The sequence below is a fragment of the Homo sapiens genome, chromosome 4 (genome assembly GCF_000001405.40).
Source record: "Homo sapiens chromosome 4, GRCh38.p14 Primary Assembly".
Classification (NCBI taxonomy): Eukaryota; Metazoa; Chordata; class Mammalia; order Primates; family Hominidae; genus Homo; species Homo sapiens.
This window is the reverse complement of record NC_000004.12, coordinates 76,700,445-76,721,507: the sequence shown is the minus strand read 5'-3', so window position 1 is coordinate 76,721,507 and position 21,063 is coordinate 76,700,445. Positions and strand designations below refer to the sequence as shown.

The 21,063-nt window shown below is 40.6% G+C and overlaps 1 protein-coding gene and 1 long non-coding RNA gene across 3 annotated transcripts in view; one reads left to right on the top strand and one right to left on the bottom strand.

The window, feature by feature from the left end:
* Positions 1-11,602, top strand: part of SHROOM3-AS1 (SHROOM3 antisense RNA 1) — a 92,558-nt gene extending 80,956 nt beyond the window's left edge. For both annotated transcript variants that reach the window (NR_187405.1, NR_187404.1), the window contains one exon: positions 11,114-11,602. This is a non-coding gene — a long non-coding RNA (SHROOM3 antisense RNA 1). The remainder of the gene's footprint in view (positions 1-11,113) is intronic.
* SHROOM3 (shroom family member 3) overlaps positions 1-21,063 on the bottom strand; it is a 348,025-nt gene that overhangs the window by 61,746 nt on the left and 265,216 nt on the right. The window contains exon 3 of the mRNA NM_020859.4: positions 11,221-11,352. Within this exon, the coding sequence (NP_065910.3) occupies positions 11,221-11,352 (132 nt within the window). The remainder of the gene's footprint in view (positions 1-11,220; positions 11,353-21,063) is intronic.

The window sequence follows — 21,063 nt, the reverse complement described above, 5'->3', positions numbered from 1 at the left end:
CTTCCTCATACCTTTATTTCCTTTCAGCTACCTAGTACTCCACCGTATGCATATATTTGTTTAACCAGACCCCTTTTGTAGACACTTTTTCATGTCTAGTCTTTTGCTATTACAAATAATGCTGCAATGAATAACCATGTCCACATAGTGTTTTCTATGTATGTTGAAATGTCTGCAGAAATTCTTTTTTTTTTTTTGAGACGGAGTCTCGCTCTGTCACCCAGGCTGGAGTGCAGTGGCGGGATCTCGGCTCACTGCAAGCTCCGCCTCCCGGGTTCACGCCATTCTCCTGCCTCAGCCTCCCAAGTAGCTGGGACTACAGGCGCCCGCCACTACGCCCGGCTAATTTTTTGTATTTTTAGTAGAGACGGGGTTTCACCGTTTTAGCCGGGATGGTCTCGATCTCCTGACCTCTTGATCCGCCCGCCTCGGCCTCCCAAAGTGCTGGAGAAATTCTTAAAAGTGGAGTTGCTGGCTCAAAGGGTAAATGCACTTCCAATTTTGATAATTACTGCTAAATTGCCCCCTTTCACATTTTAAAAAGGAAATAAACTCAATATGAACAATTAAATGTCACTGTAGAAATAATTCGGGGGGAGGCCGGGCGTGGTGACTCAGGCCTGTAATCTCAGCACTTTGGGAGGCCGAGGTGGGCGGACCACGAGGTCAGGAGTTCAAGACCAGCCTGACCAACATGGTGAAACCCCGTCTCTAGTAAAAATACAAAAATTAGCGGGGTGTGGTGGTGCGTGCCTGTAATCCTAGCTACTCAGAAGGCTGAGGCAGGAGAATCGCTTGACTCCGGGAGGCGAGGTTGCAATGAGCTGAGATTGCACCACTGCACTCCAGCCTGGGCAACAGAACGAGACTCTGCCTCAAAAAAAAAAAAAAAAAGAAAGAATTCAGGGAGAGATTATATCTTCTTTAGTATAGAATAATAGATGATGCATATTTGAACAACATCCCTTTTTAGGCATTTACTGTTTATAGGAAAATGATAGGCCCCAAATACTAATGATAAAAACATATAGCAATGGAAAACTGGGACCAAGTCAAAAAACACTGAGCTGCACTCATAACATTGTTTCATTCAGATGGTGTTTAGATGTTTATAATATGTTCACAGGAGACAGAAAAGGTCTGAAGCATTTTTAAAAGATTTGAAACAAACAAGAATCTTTCAAAACACGAAAAAAGGTGGCCATTGTCCTTCAACACTCCATTAGCAAAGGGATTACAGGCCTGAACCACTGCACCCGGCCAACTCCTTGTTTCTATAACTACTTCCAGGCTCCTCAAGACTATCCCTCAGACCTTTTGGATTCACAAAAAAAAAAAAAAAAAAAAAAAAAAAAACCTAAAAAACACTTTTCCAAGGCTTTTCATAATTCCCTCATTAATATCTGTGTCTTTAAAAAGTGGTTCAGTAGGTAGAAAGGTATGCATTAGGTAATACCATCTCATAGCAACACACAGTCCCTTCTGGAAAGAAAAGTTGTTTTTAAATGTCACATCCTGATAATATGTCCTGGGGACTTTTGGTTTTGACAGCTGAAGCATCAGTAAGTGTGAAGTCTGCTAATGTGCAGTCATAACGCTGTAACACCAAAACTGGCATAAAAGATACAGCCCCTTTTCTCGTATCCTACTTTACCCCATTCTACCATGCCTGTCCCAATATCCCCTTCACTACTAGTTATCTCCTCCCCATCCTCCATTCTGAAACAGTTTTTGAAGATTAAATTTTATTGATTACTGCATGAAAACACTACTATAAAAGAGAGGGACTAGCAACAGGGGTGTTTTTCATTCAATTGCCGGGGGGTAACAAATTGAAATGTTTTTTTCCCCAATATTCCCCTCTTTATATCCCCTTTGTCAGCAATGACACACACAGAGAATCAGAATATTCAACTGTCCTTCCTACATGTCAACATCTGCATAAAAATCAAGCAGAATTTGATGCAAACATTGTAATATCTATGATGTGTAATAGCATTCATCTTTGCCTTTTATTAATTTACAAACTCAATTACAAAAGAACAGCACAGCATAAATAGAATAGCACAACTTCTAATTACCAATAAATAATTTCTGTTTCTCAACTCTCATTTGGAACTGGGCATTTTATTTGTTGGAGGAAAGAAGGATGGTTTCTACCAATTTCTCCAGATATCAGATATGATTTTAGAATTTTCTTCCATACTGTTTTTCTGTGCCATAGCATATGTTGCTAAAACTTAGGAGAAATCACTTCCATGGTGGTGTGTTATTTTCCACAGACAGGCACATGCAAACACCCCCAAGACTGTCATGGATCTCAGAGAGGCTCAGATAGCTGCAGAGGGCTAGAAATGTTGTGTGTGCCCCTGAATTACTATAGCTTTTTAGGGAGAAGATGTCTGGGAGCTTTCCCAGAGGACTTCTGCTGGCAGACAAATGAGGAGCAGCTCAGCAGGGTGTAGTAAAAGGTGTAGAGCTTCTCCCCTCTATCCAGCAGATGGTGAGGCTGAGTGCCCGGAGAAGGCTACCCCTAAGCAGGAAACCTTCCTCCTTAATGAGAAACCCATAAAAGATTGCCTTTGAGAGTTTAAAGGAGTCCAAATACCAACCAACATATTTCAAAATTAAGCTAATTTTTATACAAGGCCAAGAATAAATTAAATTGCACTCCTCAAAACAAATGAAGAAAGGGTTGTGTTTTTTGCATTTGTGTGTGTGAGGCAGAAGCCTTACCTTTTGATGGTTATTTATTCTAAACACCACTCCATTAAACAAAAGCAAATCCCTCCCAAACCTCTAACACCAAACAAACTGAATTCTCTTTTGGAGTAAGTCTGATGCCTTGTGTTATATTTTTCACTTCTCTATTTCACTGTCTTCCTCTTCATTTAAAGGAAAAGGCCATAAGTAAGAAATTAGAGGCAATAAGAAAACAAAGGAAAAGACAGAAGGCATTAATTTTAGTGAAAAATGTTAAATAATGCTCAAAAGAATCTATATTTTCAACTCAGACTGGCAAAGAAACTTCATTAAAATAAAGTTTCCAAATGTTACTGGAACTGAAATAAAAAGAATAGTGAAGGTTTTAAGGCAGAGCAGCTGAAAATGTAAAAGACTTTAACACTTGCTCCAGCTCAATTCCTACCTACCAATATTTCCACAAGAAATTTTACAATAGAGAAGAGTTTAACTACCACTGCTCAAACAGAAGCTGACACTTTGGGAGAATAAAAATCAAAAGAACGTTCTCTCTTACTCACTTTCAGATGAAAGAATGCCAAATAAAACTGGGAAAACCAGCCCTGTAATCTCTCTATATATAGATGAGCAAATTTGATAATATAAGCAGTTCATGTTGTCTTTTTTATCTTTTACATGGTGTAATAATAAAATGAATGCCTATAATAATAAAATAAATACTCAAATCAGCTAGAGAGCTAGAACATTACCACGACTGTTGCATCCACCTGTTTTTTTCCATGTCCTATTTTAAGTAAAGGCATCTATAGAAGCAAGCGCTGACATTTAGCATAATTCTGGAGGAAAATTTCAAATCAAGATTATATATGGATAAAAGTTGAATTTGAATTATAAGAGAAAATATAATGAAGTATTTAAATCTTCAATTGTGATGGAGTTAAATAATGTACAATTGGCAATCTCAATCAATACTTCTTTTCATATATGACTATAATCTCAAAGTTGAATAAGAAGACTATACCTTTTCTTTGAAATTTAGAATATACACATGGGTTCCTTTTGTCTTCTTTTTTTAAAAAATAGACTTAAAAAAATTTTTTTAGAGCAGTTTTAGGTTCACATCAAAGCTGAGTGGAAGGTACAGAGATTTCCTTGCCCATACCCCTGCCCCACACATGCATGCTGGACAGGGCCAAGGAAAGAATCTTTGTGCCTGAGGATATCTGAATAAAAAACCTTCAAAACTGAAAGGCAAGGAGAAAAAAAGACAGAAAATTCCAGAACAGAATATCCAAGAACTGAGAGACAACTACAAAAGGTGTAACATAGACGTAATGGAAATACCAGAATGAAAAGAAAGAGGGAAAGGAAGAAAAGAAATTCTTGAAACAATAATGACTGAGAATCTCCCCAGATTAATGTCAGACACCAAACCACAGATCCAGGAAGCTCCAAGAACATGAAGCAAGATAAATACCAGAAAAACTACACCTAGGTATGTCAGTTTCAAACTACAGAAAACCAAAGATAAAGCCAAACAGCCTGAAAGAAGCCAGATGGGAAAAACACCTCACCTATAGGGGAGCAAAGATGAGAATTACATCTGACTTCTCCTCAGAAACCATGCAAGAAAGAAGAGAGTGGAGTAAAAGATTGAAAGTGTTGAAAGGAAAAACAAACAAACAAAAAACACCAACATAGATTCTGGATCCTGTGAAATTATTCTTCAAAAGTGTTGAAAGAAGTAAAGTCTTTCTCAGGTAAACAAAAATTGAGGGAATTTGTTGCCAATAGACTTGCCTTGCAAGAAATATTAAAAGTTCTTTAGAGAAAAGGAAAATGATATAGATCAGAAACTTAGATCTGTGTAAAAAAAGGAAGTGCATCAGAGAAGGAATAAGTGAAAGTCAAATAAAATAAAAACTTCCCTTTCTTTATACAAATATTGGCAATGAGAATAGAGAACTTGGCTACTAGTACATAGGTATATAACCATTCCCATAAGAAACAGCAATGGTTACTCTGAAATTCCCCAGGGAAATGAGGAAGGAAAACCGTGAGGTACACAGCACAAAGCACTTGTTAATTTGAATGGGATAAAAAGCCAGTCAAGATACACACATCATAAAAAATAGGGCGACTGTATTTATACATAGGAGAATGAGAATTCCCGAACAGAAATATTAATACTACACCAAATCATGTGAGATATTCAAATAATGAGAATATTCATAACAATTTAGAGAAACAGGTTTAAACCTAACAGGCAGTTGGTTATTTTTCTTTATAAACAGATATAGCACAATATCAAAAAGACAGCTGTTAAAGGCTTGTCATTGGAGGATCCTGCAATGAAAGATTCTGAATCGCATTCTAACACAATACTGAACTTACCTTGTGGCAAATAGAAACATCCCAGATAGCAACCCTCTGGCCAATTGGATGTCATATTCAGTCGTGGAATAAAAAGCCATTCTGCCCTGCTACTGCTCTTTCTGCTCCCCACAGCATGGTAAAAGCCTCACAAGTACTACATGTGCCTCCAGTTGGACGGCCTGAATCGCCTTGAACTTGCCCAGCTCAGCGCAAGTGGGAGGGACTCTCAATGCCAGTCCCCTCTGTAAATTGGCCAATTAAAATTCAATTCCTGCTCTGTAAGAGGGAAGAAGAGAAGGTGACCCTTAATGACTCCCTGAGAAGAGCTGGCATCTTGAACAATAGCCTATAGCTTAGAAATGCTGGAATTCTATTTTTGTGGGCAAGAGGAGGAGGGAAGCAAGGAAAATCATCTGATGATAGAATGCATCAAACTGAAATCAGGAAGTCTCCTTAAATGATCTTCTCTGCTAAACACATGCCCTCCTCCATATGCAAAAATGCCACTGTCTACAAAAGTGCTAGTTGCTTTAAGCCTCCCATAGTTAGGGAGTCGACTGAAGCAGTGGTTCTATAACAACATCTCACCGCATCTTCCTAAGATGTACTGTCATGAAAACACTAAGTCAGCAGCACAGGGACAGAACTCACTGCCAAGGGACAGCACCGCAGAACTAACCTTGCTGTTCAATTGAGAATGAATTAGAGGAGTCAGATTCTGAGCTTCTATTATCCATTCATCTTGATTTACTTTATGAAGCATGGTGATCCGAGATCCCCATATAAGGGTAAATGCTTAATAATTACATCAGACTATTTTTATAATGACTTGTGGGAGAAGGTGAGGAAGGAATGAGAAGCTTATGGAGAAAAGCATCGGCTTGGAAAATCTTCAGTTTCAAGCTAGAACATTTTGTCTCCTTTACCGACTCATTACCCTAGCCCAAGGCTTGATAGATTTTAGAGAGAAGTTTCTGCCAAGATAAGTTAGATCATAAGAATTCCTGTTGATAGATAAGAGAGAATGCAGGGATCTAAGCGGGAAAGGAAGGGTGGGATTGGATCTGTGAGAATATTAAGCCCTGGACCACTAAAAGTGTCTCTCTCTGTTTAACTTGGTTGTTTCACTGGCTCCTATATATACCTGGGAAATGAGCTTCTGGCTTTTCTTTTTTCTTATAGATAAGTGAGAAGATCCTTCCTGGCTATTTTCTCCACAATGAAGGAGCTATGAATATATATATACCTGTTACTCATGGACTTGGAACTAGCTCATGAGGTGACCACAGCACTTTCCAATTCCAAAATCAGTATAGGCCTCTGTGACATGTCACAAATTAGAACTGCTCCATACCCACCATCAACCTCCCACTTCAACATTTATAAGACTCCTAAGAAGATGATAGCACATCATGGTCTGCAGTCTTTTGTGTAAGGACAAGGCATCACTACCTCATCCTTTTCCACATTTCCAAACAGGACTTAGACCAGAGCCAGCTCAAAAGAGCTCTCGATGGCCAAAACTAGATCCATTTGAACAACAAAATAAATAACAGTAGTACTGAATTATAACCCACAGGATAAAATAAATATGGAAGAGTCCTTACTGACATGAATGAATAATGAATAAATAAGTAGAGGAGAGAAATAGGCTTTTTTAAAAATTCTAATTAATAAATGTAGAAAAAATGAAAGAAATAAAGAATCAAATTTAGAACATTATAGTAATAGTTGTCACAGGCAACACTGATAGATGCCAAGATCAGTGAAGAAAGTTTGAGGAGAAACAGGATATTTCCATAGCCTGAAAATTATCTTTCCAAGGTTATTTATTAATTACAAAGGGACAAATAGTAACTTTAAAATAGAAAAACCTGGCGGACTTCACCATAACCAAGTAATCAAGGTTAATCATCACCAGTAATGAGACATATTGACATCATGTAACCCTTATATGAGACAGAAGAAAACAACATCACTTCTGTGGTATTGTCAAAAGCCATCACCTCAATGTAACCATGAGAACACATCAGACACACCCAAATAGTAAGCATTCTACAAAATATCTGCCCAGAGCTCTTCAAAAGTGTCAAGGTCACAAAAGCCAAGGAAAGACTGAGGAAATATCACAGATCAGAGGAGGCTAAGGGAACACAATGTGGGATCCTAGAACAGAAACAGGACATTAATGGGAAAGAATGGTGAGATCTGAGTAAAGTTTATAGTTTATATAAAGTTAAGTCTGTTAGCTAATAGTATTACACCAGTGCTGATTTCTTAGTTTTGATATTTGTACTACGGTTATAAAGGGTGTTAACATTAGAGAAAGCTGGGTGACAGGTATACAGGAAATCTCTGTACTATTTTTACAACTTTTCTGTGAGTCTACAATGATTTCAAAACAAAAAAGTAAAAAGCAAAACAAACAGGATGTAGGATCTGAGCGTAACTAGATGAGAATGACTCTGATTTCCTAGGTTAGTCCCATATCAGTAACAGTTGGGTTGCAGAGAGACTTCTTGGGGGACAGGAAAATTAGGAGGTACACTAACATAGGGCTTACAATTTACAGTCATGTGCCACATAATGACATTTCAGCCAACAATGGAGTGCACATTATGACGGTGGTTCCATAAGATTATAATGGAGCTGAAAAATTCCTATCGCCTGGTGAAGCTGTAGCCATCACTCACGTGGTTTTGATGCTGGCATAAACCTACTGCACTTGCCAGTCCTCTAAAAGTACAGTACATACAATCATGTACAGTACATAATACTTTATAATAAATGTGTGTTACTGGCTTATGTATTTACTATATTATACTTTTAATCATTATTTTATTCTGTATTCCCACTTATTAAAAAAAGAAGCTAACTGTGAAATAGCCTCAGGCAGGTTCTACAGGAGGTGTTCCTGAATAAGGCAGTGTTATCCAGGAGAGCTCAGCTCCATGCACTGCCCCTGCAGACCTTCCAGAGGGACAAGACATAAAGGTAGAAGCCAGTGGTATTGATGATCCTGCTCTGTTTGGCCTAGGCTAGAGTGTGTGTTTGTGTCTCAGTTTTTAACAAAAATGTTTAAAAGAAAAAAAAATTCAATGAAAAAAAGCTTTTAGGATAAGGATATAAAAAAGAAAATATTTGTATAGCTATACAATGTGTCTGTGTTCTAAACTAAGTGTTAATACAAAAGAGTCAAATATTTTTAAAAGTTTAAAAGTTTATAAAGTTACAGTAAGCTAACGTTAATTATAGAAGAAAAAATTTTAAATAAATTTGGCGTAGCCTCAGTGTACAGTAAAGCAGTGCACAGTACCGGCCTTCACGTTCACTCACCACTCACTCGCTGACTCTCCCAGAGCAACTGCCATTCCTGCAGGCTCCCTTCATGGTGAGTGCCCTATGTAGGTGTATCCTTTTTATCTTTTACATTGTATTTTTGTCTGTTTAGACAAGCAAATCCTTACCATTGTGTGACAATTGCCTACAGAATTCAGTACAGCAACATGCTGTCCAGGTTCATAGTCTAAGAGCTACACCATAGTCTAGGCTACACCAAATGGCCCAGGTGTGTAGGTCACACCATCTAGGTTTGTGTAAGTGCACTCTAGTATGTTCAGCAACAATAAAATCGCTTAATGACACATTGCTCAGAATGTATCCCTGTCATTAAGCAATACGTGACTGTATTTGTAGAGATATGACACATACATGTAAAATTCTTAGTGTATGAAGAGTAAAAATTCCAGCCAAGAGCAGGAGTGATGTCTGCACCATCTAGCTCATGACTTTTTACAAAGGAAATTGCTTGTCGCTTATGTTCTCCATACAGACATAGCGCCATCGGCCAGCTTTGACCACACTGATGAGGACAATCCCAGCTTGTTATAAATATGATTTATTTATGTTTAAGATAGTAAGTAGATATACATTTGTTTGTTCCACTCAACTTTCAGGGATTGTTTTATAAAATATTTTAATTGTTTCTAGCTCAAACCCAGGTCTATGTGATTCTACTGCTGATATTCTTAACCCCCAGTCAGTTTCTGTGATTCCTGCCTTCCCTGTCCTAATGGCCCTGCAGATATCCCCAAGTGCCTCATACCAGCAACTCAGCAGTCACTCTTTAGTTTTTCTCTCCTTTATCCTACCCTCATCTGCTATTTATTCTGCCTCCCTAAATTTATCTCAAATCTGTCTCATCTCTTGTCCCATCACCATTGATTTAGTTCAGGTCTTGATCATTTTCTTTCCAGGCTGGAGCAGAAACTCCCTAACTACTACTTTCTGGCCTTGAGCTTTGGCACTGACATTAGATTAGCCTATCGGGCCCTGTGGACACCTCCTTGTTAAAGAGAAAATTTTGATTCTCTATATTTTAAAGATCCTAGCAGGCTAAAGGAAAGAGTGATAACCTCGGAGCTTCTGCTTCTTAGGATGTCTCTGGGAGCAACCTTGCTGGCTGGATCTCTTGAGTCAGAGGTCTTGGCGAATCTCACCCTGTTCTTGGCCTGACTCTCAGACACCAGCCAGTTGGCCTCCCTAGACCTTTGGTATGTTTAAACTTCTTTTAAATCTTTTTTTTTTTTTCAAATGAAATCTAACAAAGAACCTTAAACACCCCAATACAAGTGTTGTTTTATTATATAACATTATTTCTTTTATGTATATTTGTGTATTATTGAACATGGATAGTCTAAAGATACCAATATGGATTTGCATAAATCCAAATTATATTGTTTGTTTGAAGCTCTGTCTCCCAGGCTAGAGCGCAGTGACTCAATCATGGCTCACTGTAGCCTCGACCTCCCAGGTTCAAGCAATCCTCCCACCTCAGCCTCCAGAGTACTTGGGACCACAGGTGTGTGCCAGTATGCCCAGCTAATTTTTATATTTTTTGTAGAGACAGGGTTTTGCCATTTTGCCCAGGCTGGTCTTGAATCTCTGGGCTTACAGGCATGAGCCACTGAGCCCAGCCTACTTATTTATAATGCAAGTCGACATGTCTATATGAAAGAACTTCCCAAACTGAAATCAAGATAATTGGTTACTATGATAACATTTGTTGCACTCATGACATAGTAGGCACAGCCCTAGTGCTTGACATGTATCGGCTCTTTCAGTCCTTTCAGCATCCCTAGGAGGCGGATCAGTTATTAAACTTATTTTACAGTTGGAAGTAGAGAGAGCTTCTATAACAAGTCTGAGGGTCTATGGTAAGTGGCAGAATCTAGGCTTGAATTTTAGGTAGTCTGACACTGCACAAACCCCATCTTACTCCCCGTATCATACTACCATTCATGATATCATACAGACTTTTGTGATAATGATGAGAATGATGAGGATAATTATATTCACACAGCATTATACCACCACCTAACATTTATTTTTTGTTCTGAGTGGGCTGTGTGCTGAGTGCTTTGAATACCGTATCTCGTTGAATCCTACAGTTGTCCTATGAAGTAGGCACTGTTGTGCTGATGCTGAGGCATTGGTGTAGAGGCTGAATTTGAATCCACTGCCTCCTAGCTGAATGCTATTCTACAAGAGCAAACCTCACAGGGCTGGTGTGAGAATTTAATGAGATAGCCCGTGCAAAGCCAGGACACCTAGCACATGGGAAGCACTCAGGTTCATTCACTCTCAAAATCTGACCCACATGGGTAAGTAGCTACAAATCTTTGTTAGGCTTACGTTGGAATCTTGGGACATTCCTCCGAGAAATTTTAAATGAAGATTAGTTCAAAGATGAATTAGTCTTGCTGTACAATTTGGCACACTGATCATTTCCAAGGTATAAAACATAAGTGTATCACTTTTGATGTTTTAAATTGTAGTTTTACAAATAATTATAAATGTATTTTTGAAATGATATTTGAATCAAACTATTTGTGGGACCCTGGAATGACCTCCCAGGAACTTTACAGTTCTTTAGAACCTTGTGCGTAAACTACCATTAATAAGATCAGTATCCTTCTAAACTCTGAGCTTCTATCTCGCCTCCTTGTTCTGCCTCTTACCTCTCTCTCAACAGCCTGTATCCTGACCATCCTTGCCCCCGACTCCTCTCCCAGCAGCTGAGTGGCTTTTTGGACTGGGTTCTTTTTCCGAACTGCCAGCACCAACTTCCGTGCGTCTTACCTGTGCTTCAGCCGAAGTTTAACCCCTCCTGACCACGCTGCTTTCCTGTGCTGGGGGCCAGAGGTGAGGTGTTCTGGGCTGACGAAGTTAGAGGCACCAGTATCTGCATGGCCTGGGTCTGTGCACACATCTCTGTCAACAATAGGAAAAGAAGAAGCTGAGCATGATGGTGTTCATGGACAGGAGCACAAATGAATCTTAAAAACCGAAAAAGCACATGAAAACGAACCCCGGAGCCAGAGCAAAGCAGCACAGCTAAGTGCAGGGTTCTAAGCCTGCACCTAACAAAGTTCTCTGCCCTACGAAGGCGAATCCACTACTGAGTGTCGTGTCTTCCTTTTTTATCCATGTTCCTCTGAAGCAATAAAGCATTATTTCCCAATCTCAGAAAACCCAGATTTTCTAAGCAAAAAGGAAGAAAGTTATATTAACTGTTATAAAGACAAACTCCCCTGTAATTTGGTTTTGGTAATAAGGGAAAAACTGGATTCACTGAAGCAAACTGTCAAACGAGGTGGTTTGAAACCAAGCCTCTGCCACCTCACTTCTCAAGTTCTCTTTAAGGAGCGGGATCTCCAAGTGTAACAGGCCTTGCTCTGTTCAGTGGGTGGCAGCTCAGAAGCACATGCCAACTCTTGAGCTTGAGCTATTTCAGATTGTTTAGATTCCACTGCACTGGGAGGCAAGCCTTTTGTGTGTCCATTTAAATCCACCCTCCCACCCCCAGTCCCTAACACCATTCCCATAACTCTCTTCCTCCATACTCCCAGGGAGTCAGAGAAAAATTTTAAGCCCTACATGGCCAATGTGTTCCGCCATGGGAACAGGAACATTTCTTCTCCTTAGGACAGTGACAGGTCATGAATTTCTAAGCATCCTGACTGTGCTCTTGATGTCTCATCAGACTGTCCCCTGCATCAGGCTTTGAAGTTTTGTCATCATCTCTGTTTGTGGGGAACCAGTGGTTTATTTTCAATTTCTGTCTTCAAGGATTTTTCTAAGCCTCTGAGATCTGACTGGTGGGCCCATAAACAGAATCTGGAGAAGGTACAAATGAGGCCGTGCCTCCTCTGCACAGGCCATGGCTGAGAGGGGAAGGGATTACTGAACAGCTGTTAAGAATAAGCCCCGTCCATCTGGCCTTCTATTTCCTGGAACACAGAACGGAAGTGAAAGAGCTTTCTTTCCTAAATCCTAAGGCAAATGAAAGGATCTCTTTTTATTCTACAGCATGGGGAAGATGGCCAGGAGGCCAACAGGGAGTTTCCATTTCTAAGCTCAAGTTTTCATGTTTACCTTAGTTATATCTAAGCACCACCACCTCCTTCTGTACATTACTTTTCTCACCGAATTTAGGATTCTCGGCTTTGGATATATTCAATATAGTGCTAGACTTGAAGTTTGAAAATTGGTTGAGGTTATGTCAATAATGAACTGAATAAATTGGTCAAGTAAATTCTGAGTCTCAGGCTCCTCATCCACGGTAAAGTGAAACCATGAGGCAGTGTACCATGGTTTTAGGAGCATGACTCTGGAGTCTGAGTCCTGGCTCTACCCACTGAGCAGCTCTGTGACTTTGTCTTCTCTGTACCTCAGTTCTGTCATCTATATAATGCACGCATAGGAACAATCGGTGACTAGAAAGTAGATTGAAAGATACCTCGCCATCCAATACCTGACTGTAAAGATTATATGAGTGTAAACAGCACACTCCAAGACCACCCATTGGTATAACCAGGGGAGGGACTTTTCCTTTTCAGGACCCCTTTAGACCCTAACTTTGTTTGTTGGGGGAAAACAATCAAGACCAGGCCTGAGCTTTCATAAAACCTTTGTAGTATTTAATAACTTCCTAATTTTTTGTGTAAACCAAAGTTTTCGACTCCATCTTTTTTTTTTTTTTGCACAATGTCTTGGGCACCAGAGACTGAGCTCTTTTCTCTTTCCTTTCCACTTCTCCTTCCTGGGAGATGCCTAGAGACAGAGGTCTAGGAGTGGTGACTGTCACAGTGAAGGGCTGGCAGGAAGAGCAGGCAGACCAGAAAGAGATGGAAGCATGAGGAACATAAAATCATTCCATCGATTTAAGCATTTTCAATGTATGATTCCTTTCTACCCTAGAAAAGCAGAGACCAGCACCCCAGCACTGCCCCCAAAACCATGTTGTCCTACTACGTGTCACCTCTACAGGACCAGCTGAAATTAGCAACTGGGTGTGAGAATCCTGAAACCCATTTTGATTCTTGTTAATTGCAACCTCCAGGCTAACCTTTGCCCCTCCTAATCTTCACCCTCCTGCCCTGGATGGGTTGGCTCTGGATACCAGAAAGAGCCTGGGCACCTGGGTGAGCTGTCTGGATGCACCACACAAACTAGAAATCAGGCTGGAGAGAGTGCTAGAATCACCAGCACACCAAGCACACCTTTCCTCCCTTCAACTCTTTCTGGAATAATCTGGGCAACAAACACACATTTTAAAAATTCATTATATTAAAAAAAAAGAAAAAAAACCCATAGTGAACCGAGGTGGAAAATAGTCCTGGCATGAGTGTTGGGAAGCCTGTCATCCCAGAAACCAGGGCCCTGGAATTGTTTCTTTGCCCTTCCTTCCTTCTGCCTTACCTGTACATTGAATACCTTACCTGTACATTGAACTCATGCTGTCTCTAGAATGCACATTTTCTTACCCACCTCAAGTTGCTACTTAGCCTCAAAACAGACTGCCATAGACAAAGTCTGCAATGTGCTTTGATCTTATCGGGGAATGGTGCCCCACTGGTGCGCCAATGGTTATACACGACTCAGGCAAATTTGCCAAGTCTTTCTTAAAAAAAAAAGTGTGCTTTCCCATGTGCCAGATATTATTCCCACAACTTTTTTATGAAGGAGAGAATGAATGAGGGTTTAAGTCCCATTTTACAGACTGACAACCTGAGATACAGAGAAGTTATGTAAATTTGCTCAAACCACACATGGAATCATATTCCCTTCGGACTGTCAACCACTCACTCTCCTTCCTTTCAGTTTGGCAGGTTTCAAAAATGTTCAATTTATGCCACAGATTTTGTAGGCGTTACAATTACTAACCCAGATTTGGTAGGGAATGGTGATGGTAGAGCCATTAACTAAACATATTACCAAATAAGCCCATTTTTACTTAAAAGATACTAAAAGGTACAATGTCTCACTTAAAGATAACCAACGATACATTGTAGAAGCCTGGAAATCAATGAATCCAGTTCAAGTGAAACATACTGGGATAAACTATACACTCTCCAGGCCTATTGGGCTACTTCTAGATCCCTAAAGGATCCTCTCCGGGCTTATCCACACTCATCCTTCAGGTTTCAATTTCGACATCATTTCCTCTGCTGGCTACCCAGAGGAACTGTGGAAGTCGGGGTGAGGTGGCCCCTTGTGTGCTAGCAGTGCAGCACACTGGCTATAGATGTACACCTCAAAGTGCAATTCACACTGGCTGCTAGTTGCCTGCTTGCTGGTCCCTCTCTTCCACAGGTCAACAAAGATAAACCAGCTCAGCTTAGTGCCTGGAACAGAGAGTTGCTCAATAAATATTTGTTGAATGAATAAAGTACAGATGACCCTTGAACAACAGAAGCTTGAACTACGTGGGTCCTCTTATACGCAGATTTTTTTCAAACAACTGTATCCACCTCTCCTGTCTTCCCTTCCACCTCTTCGTCCATCTCTGCCACCCAAGACAGCAAGACCAACCCATCCTCTTACTCCTCCTCAGCCTAGTCAACATGAAGACAATGAGAATGAAGACCTTTGTGATGATCCACTTTTGATTAATGAATAGTAAACGTATTTTCTCTTCCTTATGATTTTCTTAGCATAATAACATTCTTTTCGGCCAGGCACAGTGGCTCACGCCTGTAATCCCAGCACTTTCGGAGGCCGAGGTGGGTGGATCATGAGGTCAAGCGATCGAGACCAGCCTGGTCAACATGGTGAAACCCCATCTCTACTAAAAATACAAAAATTAGCTGGGCGTGGTGGTACATGCCTGTAATCCCAGCCACTCGGGAGGCTAAGGTAGGAGAATCACTTGAACCCGGGAGGTAGAGGTTGCAGTGAGCTGAGCTCTGCACTCCAGCCTGGCAACAGACGGAGACTCCGTCTCAAAAACAAACAAAAAACAAAACAAAACAAAACAAAAACCATTCTTTTCTCTAGCATACTTTGTTGAAAGAATACAGTACGTAATGCATATGACATACAAAATATGTTAATCAACTGTAAGGCTTCCAGTCAACAGTAGGCTATTGGTAGTTAGGTTTTAGGGTAGTCAAGAGTTGTAAATGGATTTTTGACTCTAGGGGGTTAGCATCCCCAATCCCCCTGTGTTGTTCAAGGGTCGACTGTACTGCTAAATGTTCAACAGATCTGCAGCCTTTCTTCCCTCCTATATCCTTTTAACTCACAAGTTAACTTGTTGGCAAAACTAACAAGACATTTCTTGGAGCTGTTTTATGTTTATGTTTCTTGCTGTTCTCCAGTATCTATATCTCAATATTACCACTATGAGTGAAGAGCTAGGAATCAAAGCTGACCTGAGAAAGTTTAGCAGAGGCTAAAAAAATATACTGTAGTATGATCTTTCTTCTTCCAGATAGTTAAACAAGAAAGCCAGGCCAGCCACCCACATATTTCTTCTACTTCCCATGATGAGGACATTCATATTTGCTCTGCCTGCCACCCAATATTCATAACTCCAGAATATATACTGACTGCTTTCTTATTTGCTTTTTGTTTTGTTTCGTTTTTGAGACAGGGTCTTGCTCTGTCACCCAGGCTGGAGTGCAGTGGCACAATCTTGGCTCACTGCAGCCTCGACCTCCCAGGCTCAAGTGATCCTCCCACCTCAGCCTCCCAAGTATCTGGGATCACAGGCATGCACCACCATGTCAGGCTGATTTTTAATGTTTTGTTGTTGTTGTTGTTGTTGTTGTTGTTTGTAGAGACGGAGTCTCACTACATTGCCTGAGCTGGTCTTAAACTCCTGGGCTCAAGTGATCCACCCACCTTGGCCTCCCAAAGTGTTGGGATTACAGGCATGAGTTACCATGCCCAACCTATTTGGTATTTTAATAGTACCCATTAACTGCTTTCTGAACTGAGTTTCAGCCAATACAAAAGAAAGGGTTCCAGATCTTTCAGTTCCTTAGGGCTCTCTTGAACACTGTACAAATTAGGGAAGGCTGGGGAAACTGGAGTAAAAGACACGGAACTGAGCCATTAGGCATGGTCTCTCCAGGTCCCTTTGCTTCCTGGTTTCTATTGAGTTTGCATTTTTCTATTTTATCCTTAAAGGGGAGGGTGAGATGGAGGAATCGTGTCTCCTTGGCATGGTCTGTTACAACCTTAGGGAAGTGCTTGGTTTTGTCTGTTAGAATCAGCCATTTCCTCCTTTTTTGTTATGTTTCATCCAGGAGGGAATGCTTCCTCACTGGCCTCCCCCTTCCACTTCTGTCCCCTCCAATCCAGTGTCTACCCAGCAGCCTTTCAAAAAATGTAAATGGATGATGTCATTCCCTGATGAAATCCTGTAGCTTCCCTATGCATTTTGGATAAAATCCAGGTTCCCCTACTTGGCCTGCAAGGTCTCTGGTGACGTGGCTCCTGCCCCTCCTTCAACCTTTCCCCTTACTGCATTCTGACCTCACTGGCCTTCCTTAGGTTCCCCAAACTTGCCAAGCTCTTTGCTTTTTGCACATGCTGTTCTCTAAGCCTGGAATATTCTTCCCAATTCATTTCTTGGCTGACCACTCCTTAGTTTCTGCTCCCAGCTGGAACATCACCTCCTCGGAGACTGCCTTATCTAATGCAAATACTCTTTCCTGGCACCTGATCTTTCCCTTTACTGCACTTATAACCACATGAAATTGTTCACTTGTGCATTGTCTGCTTCGTTGTTAAGACATAAGCTCAGCCAGGTCAGGGTCCACCTCTGGCTTTTCTTCAGCCTTGTTTTTTGAAACTTCTACACACCCAAGGCCTAGCACAGTGAGTGTCTCCTGGTAGGCACACAATGCATATTTGCTGAATGAATCATAGGAACCTGTAAAGGAAATAATTGTAATGCATCCAAAACAAAGTTCTATGTCCTTAAATCCATAAGGGCATTAAACTGTTCATAATATCTATTTTGGGAAATGTGGGATCTTCTTTTCTTCTAGTTACTTTCTAGATCAGGCTCTGAGTTGATTTCTTCTTGAAAATAGAATCTAGCCCTAACTTTTGATCCATCTCATTAGCGGCAGGCTTTCTTGGGACAGACAAGAAAAGTTGGGAGTTGGGAGACTGTGGCAGAGCCCCTTCGACAAACAGCTGGTATGGCTCAGTGCAATTTTGTTGCCTTATGTTTGGAGGCAATCAGAATGCTTTTTGTGATTAAGTAGACAGGATGCATTTATACAGGGCTAAGTTTGTCCTCAGAATCCTTTGGAGAAATTCCTTTTGATTTATGTTGGGTGTGTACACTCATTCATGTGGCAATTTGTCTTATTTAAAGCCACGTTCTTGGTTTTCAAGTTTTCCTTCTACTCTGTGTCCTTCATCCATGAAGTTAGCCTTACTATTGCATCTCTATCCTGTCATCCCCCTTCTCCTGGGTTTGCAGGTCTCTAATGCCATAGTTGTAGGTTTCTCAGCACTTTTTCTCTTGAGTCTCCAGGAGGCTGAAAAGGCCTTAGATTAGAAGCTTTTTCAGTGTCTGAAGAAGATTTTAAGAAGTGATGCCCTCAGGCACAGATTTCTGTTCTTAGCCAAACATAGGTGCTCTTCATTTTCTGATAACTGACCATTGATCAGCCGTTTCACAGACATCTCAATGAATTACCCTTTCTTTAAAAGGCCCCCTTGTTCCTGTTACTGACCTTTTGTAACTTACACATTTAAGTCTTAACCTTCTGGGTCCTGTCCTCTCATTACTCATCTTTTTTCCTTTTTAAGTCATTATTTACCATCTAGGAAGCTCCCTCTGCATGCCCTCAGGCCTGTATCCTATCTAGTGTTTTAGTCATAGGCATGCCATTCATTTGTACTTAAAGCCTCCTCCTGTCTTTCTGCTTACCTACCCTGGTCTACAGCTTGTTTTATTACAGGAGGGCCACACATAACCCTTCAGCTCTGCAGAGATGCACTTTGTATGTCTCAAACCTCTGTCCATTTGCACCTCCTGCTCTGGCTGCTGCTTTTTTTCACTTGATTTCCCCCTGAAACTTGCCAAACAAATCCAGGTGTACAATATACCCCAGTAACATTCAGCATATTTCTGACTCTTTCTGAAACCGTAAGCTTAATTATCTCCAGATCTTAGCCAATGACCTCTATGTCAACCTTGCAGAAAGATGAGGAAAGGGTGGATAGGAGAAAAAGCCAAATGACCTGCCAAATCTTTTAACCTGCCTAATAAATATTAATCTGCTTCAGTTTACTGCTGACATCAGTCCCTCTACCCACTGAGCCCTTTGACACAGCTAGTAGCCCAGGACAAGTGCATAAGAAAACCAAGGGCTCTCACAAGGGCTTTATAGTGAACAGATGATATCTTCATGGAAGCGGTGTGCCCCTAGCTACAAGCACTCAGAGCCTAGATCTTAAGACAACTCCAACAAGCAGCAGGCTGTGTAATGTATATGGACGATGTGGATTCCGGAGCCAGCTGCCTGGGGTCCTGTTCTGGCTCTGTCACCTAGGAAGGTGTTTGAGCAGGTCACTTAACCTCTTATGCCTGTTTTTTCCCCTATAAAATAAGAATACTAATAGCACCTTCATCAAAGGGTAGATGTGAGGCTTGAATGAATTAATATGTATAAAGCAATCAGAACAGTGCCTGGCAATAATTATTAAATTTTTACCCGTAGAACTGAAACTTACATTTACTGGGCACATGGTATGTACCAGATTATTTGTGCTTTAAAAACAGTAATTCAGTTAATCTTCTTATCATTTGAGGCAATAATCATCCTTATTGTAAAGAAGAAAAGAAAAATTAAATTAAAAAGTAGAAAGAGCTATGGCTAAAGGCCTCACCCTCTCCACTACCTACCCCATTAGATTCCTTTTAGGATTACTGGGCTTTGTATACTTTGGTAGGTATCAACCACATATCAAACCATGTATGCCTTTAATTTTTCCACATCACTCTTTTGTTATTCATATGAGATAAAACATATGCATAAAAACAAAACACCAGCAAGTATTCCAAAATGTTACTACTGGGTGACAGGATTATGGGTACTATTTTTCTTCTCTCTTTTCTATGTCTTGCAAATTGTTTACAATTAATGTTTATTATTTTAATTATCAGATAATAGTAAAATTAGCCTTATTTTTTCTTAATAGAATGAGTCTAAGGGTCTAAATTTTCTACATTTTTAAAGGAACATCTTCTCTAGGAAATGGAAGTGCCTATCCTGAGAGCATATGTGGGCAGCAGAAAGACTCCACACTAGTTGGTGAAGGGGATTACTTTGAGAGCTCCAATAACTGCTGAAAATAGCCAGTGGAGGAAGAAGCAGGGTTTCTGTGAAACTAGTATCAGTAGAGAGAGACAAATACCTCCTGAAAAAATTCAGTCTAGGCCTTTCTTTCCCTATCCTCTATCATTAGCCTACAGTAACAGACTAGTGTTCCCAGAGAACAATACAAATCTCTACAGCGAACCATTATTCATTACTTTAATACCAGATTATAGCTTATAAAGCACTTCCCAAACATTATTTCATTTGGCCCTCAATAATCCTAAAAGGCAAGTAAAGCAAGTATTATTTATCCCCATTTAACAGATGCAGAGACAGCCTCATAGAGGGACAGTTATTCGCTCAAGGTCAGGACTTCTAAGCCACACGACTGGCACAGCAGGGTCTCATACTCTAATTTTTAAGCTCTCTTGTTCCATACTGCCTTTGGATTCTGTGATCCTAAAAGTCCATTGATACAGTAGCAAACATTTAATACCAAAAGCCTCTTTAAAGGGGAAGCTTCAGAAGAAGAAAGTAGACTGACTGAAATTCAGATGAGACCCCTCTCTCAAGTCCAACTGTCCCTAGATCTAGAGAAATGATGAAGTCCCTACCCCTGACACCCAGACAGCATTCCTGCCCCTACAAGAACTTTCTAGCGCCGGTCACACTGCTGAAATGATGCAGGATATATTAAGATAGATATTTCAAGGCCAGGTGCAGTGGCTCACGCCTCTAATCCCAGCACTTTGGGAGGCCAAAGCAGGCAGATCACTTGAGGTCAGGAGTTTGAGACCAACCTGGTCAACATGGTGAAACACTATCTCTATTAAAAATACAAAAACTAGCTGGTTGTGGTGGCTCACACCTGTAATCCCAGCTACTCAGGAGGCTGAGGCATGAGAACCACTTGAACCCAGGAGGTGGAGGAAGGTTGCAATGAGCTGAGATCATGCCACTGCACTCCAGCCTGGGTGACAGAGTGAGACTCTGTCTCAAAAATAAATAAATAAATAAAAGAAAGAAAGAAAGAAAAAAAAAAGATATTTCATGCTGAAACCCAGAGCCTAGTCACATCTATACCTAGCCCAATCATCCATTCATTCAATCAACTATTGCTAAGGGCTAACCACAGGCCACACATTGGATTAGGCACTGGACTCGTGGCAAAACAGACACGATCCTTCCCTTTGTGGAATTATAAATTAATGGGAAGAAAGCCAAAATTAACTGAATAAATATATACATACACGCCATAAGTCCTGGGAAAAGAGACCATGAGAGCAGCCCACACTCAGCATGCCTCCCTCTCCTTGTCATTCACTTTTACACAGTCGGTGTAGACACTTGC